This window comes from Homo sapiens, chromosome 2 (genome assembly GCF_000001405.40).
Source record: "Homo sapiens chromosome 2, GRCh38.p14 Primary Assembly".
Taxonomy (NCBI): domain Eukaryota; kingdom Metazoa; phylum Chordata; class Mammalia; order Primates; family Hominidae; genus Homo; species Homo sapiens.
In genome coordinates, this window is record NC_000002.12 from 143,148,422 (window position 1) to 143,155,659 (window position 7,238).

At 38.0% G+C, this 7,238-nt stretch overlaps 1 protein-coding gene across 9 annotated transcripts in view, besides 1 other annotated feature; it reads left to right on the forward strand.

The window, feature by feature from the left end:
- Positions 1–7,238, forward strand: part of ARHGAP15 (Rho GTPase activating protein 15) — a 638,934-nt gene that overhangs the window by 19,003 nt on the left and 612,693 nt on the right. For 6 of the 9 annotated variants that reach the window (XR_007078554.1, XM_011511482.3, XM_047445109.1 and 3 more), the window contains exon 1: positions 7,057–7,234. The exons of 2 other annotated variants lie outside the window; for them this stretch is intronic. Coding sequence is in view for 6 of the 7 variants with exons in the window: in XM_011511482.3 (XP_011509784.1) it covers positions 7,070–7,234 (165 nt within the window). In the remaining variant the exon portion in view is untranslated. Of the gene's footprint in view, positions 1–7,055; positions 7,235–7,238 lie in introns of those variants that run through there. One more of the 9 variants, NM_018460.4, reaches the window with a different exon arrangement.
- Positions 385–444: an enhancer, noted in NCBI's record as "active region_16600". NCBI's record gives its function as "activates an Ori minimal core promoter by ATAC-STARR-seq in GM12878 lymphoblastoid cells {active_cell/tissue: GM12878}" and the evidence as "EXISTENCE:reporter gene assay evidence [ECO:0000049][PMID:35858748]".

The window sequence follows — 7,238 nt, forward strand, 5'->3', positions numbered from 1 at the left end:
TTTGCTCCCAACAGGATGGAGTTTGAAAGGTTAAGAGCTAAGAAAGATCATGGTTGCCTACCACACACTTATTCTACTTTTAAAAAATATTTTACTTGACATTTTCACCATTTAAGATGGCCATGTGCAGTGATAATAACTGTATTACAATTTACCATGCTGCAGACTTGTCAGACTTTGTCAGCAAATGCAGCAAATACTCCAGATTCCCTGCTATAAGTTAAATAAATGCAAAAACTTATTATCACATTTCCTATATATAACACCTGCCCAAAGACAATGTTACCCAATGGGGTGGCTATGGTCACATTCCTTTACTGTGATCTTCCTTTCTCATTATATTTGACATTTTTGAAACTGAGTTTTATTGCACTCTCTCAGCTTACAGAGTGGTCGGGGAAATTAGACTTAATAGAGATGTAAAAGCCACAGGGAGAAAACAAAAGGAAAGTGAAATGGAAGGAAACTGAAATTAAAATGCTATTTTGGTAAATGGCTGCTGTGGTGGAGACAACAAACAATTGCAATGCGAGTTAATTACTGACCTGTCAGGAAAGTGTGACGCGAAGGTTGTGGCACACATTACTGGAGCTACCAGGACCACAACTCATTTCCACAGGGGAACAGACTTGTTCTACCACAGATCAACATAAGATCTTTCCAGGGGATAGAAATGAATTTCTCGGAGAAATACTATTTATCTGTGGAGTTGTCATGAGCTCTTAGCAGACCTGGAGAAACAGCTCCTCTAATACATGTAGAGCAGGGAATGGGGTTGTGTCACCAGAGAAAGTTTGTGCATGTTTAGGCAGAGGGGACCTTCGCTCCTCGTGGTGGACCTTCGCTCCTCGTGGTGGATGTGCTAAATATACAGCTCCCTTGCCATGGAGTGAAAACTCAGGCTAACACTCATGAAATGGGAATTCCCTGGGTGTATGGCCATTTCTTGCCTCTGAGATTTTACTCACAAAACTCTCAGTGGCAACCTATGTCTTCCAGAAGCATCCTTCTTTTAGGGAAAAATATCAAGTACCTATCCAAATCTGAAACTCAAGGAAGACTATTCTCAAAGCAAAAATCCCTGAAAATTCTAAGATTGTGATAAATTTGATCTTTTTTTAATGAGAAGAAGATACAGGGCTTTTGGGAAATAGAAATATGATATTTTTAACCCTAAAATATTATATGAATCTCCAAGCATACTTTAATATTAGCCTCAGAACACAGAAGAAACATTGTTTTCTTTCTGCCTCTAACTTATAATAAAATATCCATAGTTTATTTACTCTAAGAAATATTAGCAAAGGTGAGTTACACATTTTTAAAGTAAGAAAATTGGTCAAAGACATTTTCTTCTTTGCCAGGCTACATACACTGGCATAAACTAGGTTCCATATTTGTTTTTCATTTATACATTCAACAAACATTTAAGTCTCTATTGTTTTGTCAGGAAGCAGAGGAACATTTATAAATGATTAAACAGAAAGACTTGCATGATACATACCTAACGTGGCTACACTATGATCATTTTATCTGCCAGATTTTCTTTACATTTCTTGTTACCTTTTCTTTCCATACACAATGTCCACTTGATTTGTGGGTCTATGGCGAAATCAAGGATGCTGGGGGGTGTGGGCCCTGAGTGCCATCCTAGAGTTATTCTGAACAGAATGTGACACCAGGGGATGGTGTTCAGTATACCCAAGCCTACATTTTCTCTACTCAGCAGCATAAAGATTATATCATAGTGCCTATCCAGTTTTTCCCAGCTCAAAAATTACTTAATATATTTTTACTTTTAATGCTGTTGATGTGAAAGAGATGTCAAAAATACACATTCTAACTCAAAAGGGCAGGCTGCTGAGCTTTAGTGTAGTTAACAGAATGCAACAAATAATTGGGAGAGCAGCTATGAAATTTATGATTAGATGAAATATCATGTTCACTCCTATTTGCAGTATGAGTAGGAAAATCAAGCCCAGAAGCCCAGGACACCATCGAACCACGTAGTTTGAGCAGAGCCAAAGTTCGTGTTGCTCTTATGAAGTGCATTCTCATTACTGCTTCCTGTTTTTAAACAGGATTGAAAGGAGAACTAGTGCAATATCACAAGGTATTCTTGCTCTTCTGTTGGTACACGTAAAATCAGGAAGTCTAGAGAATAGTGAAGCCAGTCTTAAGTGATTTACATTTCAATTTCTAACTCAGGGATATTTATTTGGAGAGTTTAGTAAAATCAATGGATATCTCAAACACATGCAAAATGAGCCAGTTCTTCAATATTTTCATTAGTCATTCACCAGTGCTCTGTATGCCTCCTGTAAGAACATAAAAACACAAGGCATCAAAGTTTTCTCTAACAAAATTTAATAGTAACAATAATGATGATGACATGAGTGGGTAACGTGTTCTAGGAAGAACAAGGGGAATACTGAAGAGGCACATAGATCAAGCAAAACCTAAACTTAATATGATTTGAAGTTAATAAGCCTGATATTACTAAATTACATAGAAATAAGCATAAGCAAATATTATTGATTTTACAATCTACCAAATCTAGAAAATTGAAGGTCAGTGAGGAATGAAAACATGGGTGGAACAACAGAATATAATTTAAGATTCCTGTGAATATTTTTGGAATAATAATGCAGAAAGACTCACAAAACTGGAGTTCCTCGTTCTCTTTGAGAGAACACCCTGAAATTAATACAGATATTCCTGGAAGAACAACCACTCCTAGGTTCTGGAAGCCAAGTCAAGTTGGACTCTGGGGTATGAGGGTTTCTTTTGAGTCGATGTTGAGCAGGCTTTGCAATGGAGTTTCTTCCCTAGAACCTTATTTCATAAAGGCTAAAAAATAAGACCACCATGGAAGGGATATTGCATCATACAGCTCTAGGAGGCACCATTTTCCAGAATGCAATGTTAATGTCCCATCCCCAGTCACAAATCCTACCACCTCTGAATTTATGTAAGGGCATAAATAGAGTGGACTGATCAATGCTCTTCTACTCTAAGATAGTTCTTTCATGTAGCCAGAAGAGTTTCCAGTTTGAGATTCAGTTAAATGCTTCCTTGAGAGTTAAGGGAAAGTCTGACTGATATAACATTGTGTTAGCTAGTCTAATCATACCCCTCCCATATACATCTAAGTGATTCAGAGGTAAGAAAGAATGGATGATGGAAATTTTTATAAATTTTGACACTGTAGTTAGATTAAGCCTAAGTGAATGCTGCAGTGGGTGCTCTGGCAGCTGAAATATGAAAAGGATTATAGGGTGTCTACTAGAGAAAAAACTGTTGGGATGTAGGCAGGGGGAAACTGGGGAGTTGAAAGGGAATAAAGAAAGGGCTCTAAGTGGGACCCCAAAACAACTTGCAAAATATGGCCTAGAAACAGCCCTGTCTAATTGGAATGAGAGGTTCCTAACGGGATGAATCAGAGGAAATCGTCTCTGAACCCACAGGTACAGCAGTCACAGGTCCCACAGCCACTGGCACAGCTGTCATCATCCTGTTAGATTTCCATCCTCAACTGTCCTCCTTCTGTCCGGCAGCAGGGCTCTGCTTCCCTCTCAATTCATCTCCATTCTCAATTCATCCACAAAAAAACATTGTGTGTTATGTACATCCAGGACAACACACATTCTCTTCCTCAGAGTGTCTAGAATACCAGCCCCTCTGGTACTGGTTGGGTTAGAAGGGATGGGACTCTCAGTCAATCATTCAGCCAGATGAAAGATAAGCGAGATGATCAGATATCCCCACAGAGAGGTCAAATGCTACCTTCTCTATGAAATCCATTGTTTCTTTCTTTCTTCGAACTTCCCTGGTACTTTATGTCCCTTCATGACATATGTCAATACCTACCTTATAATATCCCAGGTATCTGCACACCTTTGCATTGCCAAATCCTTTGCCAGAAATGTCCAACCTGCACTGACTTAGCTCTGATGTAATCTGATCTTCTCTTGCAGACTTCCTCTCTCTCCACCTCCCACTTCCACCTGAGTTTAATGCCATTGCTCCTCTCCCCACCTGGGCACTGCCCTATTCTCAGTTAATTATTGATTGTTTCTCTATTGCCCTCACCAAACTCTGGGGCACTTGATAAAGATTATCTCTAGTCTCTAAAATGGTGCCTGCCACTTAGGAGAATCTCAGTAAAGGTCGAAGGGGTATATGTATGTTTTCTGTTGATAGAAATCTTTAAGACGAGGTTTTGTGTCATTTTTCTCTATCTTCCCAGAGCAATATAGTGGTCTGCAAAATTAGAAATCCCCAAATATTTAACAATAGAAGAACAATTATGAAATAGCATCAAGTCAATGACCTTGCAGAGCAAAGTACGTGGGAAGCAGAATAAAGAGAACAAACTTAGTGGAGGGGGTGTCAACAAAATGTAACAACAGGGTGAGATGGAAAAGGAAGTGAGGGCTGGAGGAGAGACAGTGAGCAAATTGAGAGAAATAACATTAACATTGTGGTAGAGAGAGAGATCCGCCTGATGGAAAGATCTAAGAAAGCAAAATCTTGAAAGTATTTTCTGCAGCTTGTCCCCATGAAAACAGAGGTGGGGAAGCCAGATAAAAGGCTTTGTAATGAATCCAGCCTTTTGACAGTAGCATATCACTAGGCAAATTATGGTTTGATTGTGAAATCAATATAGGAATGCAAATTTTGATTTGACACTGAAATTTGTCCAGCTTCTGAGGAAGCAACATGTCCTATAAATGGTGTACGGTTGGGCTATGTAAACACCGTGGCTAGATGCTCTTGGCCAGAAGAGAGTGGCTTCAGCCTGAGTGATTTCATCCACCAATATTACAAACACACTGTCCTTAGAGTTTGAATCTATTGAATAATGTGGGAAATCAACCCTTGAAGGCACTCAGAGGAGAAAATATTTTTCTAGAAAAATATATGATTTTCTTCTTAATACATACTTCAAATTTTTATTTCATACTTATTGAAAAAAACTCTTGCATTCTCAATTAGATAATTTTGAATAATACATTACTCATGTAAGCATATAAAAAGGAAAATAAGAGCAAAATAAATTGGCTAAGCAATTGCTAAAACAACTTTTCTATAAACATCTTCGTGATTTATTACTGAAGAATCATAAAGTGCAAGTGTTTAAAGTATACAATTTGTTCATTTTTAACATGTGTAAATGCCTATGAAACCAACACCACAATCAAGGTAACAGACATACCCATCATTGCCAAAACTTTGCTCAATGTGATCCATACTTGCCTCTATCCTTTCCCTAAGGAATTACTGATCAGCTTTCTGTTAGCATACCTTAGTTGGCATTTTTGAGAATATTATATAAATGAAATTATATAATAAATCTTCTTCTTCTTCTTCTTCTTCTTCTTCTTCTTCTTCTTCTTCTTCTTCTTCTTCTTCTTCTTCTTCCTCCTCCTCCTCCTCCTCCTCCTCCTCTTCCTCCTCCTCCTCCTCCTCCTCCTCCTATTCCTCTTCTTTTTTTTTCGGTTTCTTTCACTCAGCGGAATAGATTTGCAATTCATCTATGTGGTTTTATGCATCAATAGTCTGTTCCTTTTTATGGTTTATTGTTTTCATTGCATAAATTAAAATGTGTCTATCTGTTCACCTGTTGATAGACATATGGGTCTTCTTTTGGGAATAAAATACCTGCTCCTCCACCTCTTTCTGCCTGCCTGTTTTACTGGAAAAATTATGAGTCTCTCTGATCCTCATTTTTTTCTTATAAAAATATGGGTTTAATGGCTATTTTATAGGAGTTTTTTGAGAATCAACCATTGAGCACATTGCTTAGCACATAGTAGATACTAAGTATTAGCTTCTTTTCTAATTTGTCATTTAATTGCCTTACTGGTATTTATTGTAAAGTAACAATTTTCCTCCTATCAAAATATTTCCTTTTCTGTTCGTCTTAGTGTCTGCCTGCTTGGCCATTAGAATGAATGATTCTAGCCTCATTGTCCAACAAACATTGGGGTGGCTATACACTTGCCTCCTTAAAACATGATTCTTCTTTTGGATTATATTCGCTCCCATAACTGACTAGTCACAGTTTTGTTCACTGTACACAGTGCTCGGAGCCCGCTATAGGATGTCTATTAGGTTAGACTTGGAGACAAGAATCAGACAAGAAGAGGGCTGTTTCCAGAAAATGAGAAGATGTGTTTGTATTGCAACCATTCTGTTTGTAATGAGGTGCTGTGTTCACTTGAGGAACTTTTGGGGAGGGACATTTGAAGAGGATTATGGATGAGGGGCTCAGCTAAAGCTCTACCAGTCCACCCTCTGGTGCTGCCACAGTTTAGTTCTCTTTGTTTTCTTCCTCCAAATTCTATTTTTTCTCATTGCTGCTCCTTTAAAGTGTGTCCATACTAAATTTTCTTGCCTAAATCAGACTCCTTCTATTAAAATAAATGGTGCTGATTTTTTTCTTCATATTCTTTATAAATACGATGTCCAACTAAGCTAGCAAATCTAGTTCAGTTGGCAGATGGCAGTGGATGAAGGAATTTTAATTTCCCCCTGTGAGTATTGTGAGTGGGGGTAGGGGCTCTGGGGTCTGTTTTGCTCTGACACCAATTTTACTCACTTAAATTTGTCTTTATTCATAGAGATTTTTGTTCACCAAGAATGGGTGCTGATGGTAGCATGTAGGGGTAAAGTGGGTAATAGACCAGTGAAGTTGTGGATTAAAAAGCATATATCCTCAAGACAGTTGGTGGGCAACACCATTTCTATATAAGGAAAACTGTATCTCATTACTGTTAGGAGTTTGTTAATGGAATTAAGAAACACAGTCTATCGTTGTGCTACCTATAAACTTCTGAAGTCCTCTGTTATGTATAGTGCTATCCACATGTAAAGGTCCCAACTGACAAAATAACTTACAAAGGAACTACTTTTTTCTTCACTAGTCAGAGAGGTGAAGACTCTTGTTTATCAACTTTTAATATCCTAATGATTACTAGGGACACTCCATCAAGAGTTTTCATGGAAAATTGTATGTTTAGAATAACATAATACATTTTATATTTTATCAGGATAGCACTATAATATGCAGAAATCTACAAATTCTGATACTTCCGTGGAAACACTGAATTCTACCCGCCAAGGCACAGGAGCTGTGCAAATGAGAATCAAAAATGCCAACAGCCACCATGACAGGCTCAGCCAAAGTAAATCCATGATCCTCACCGATGTCGGGAAGGTCACTGAACCTGTAA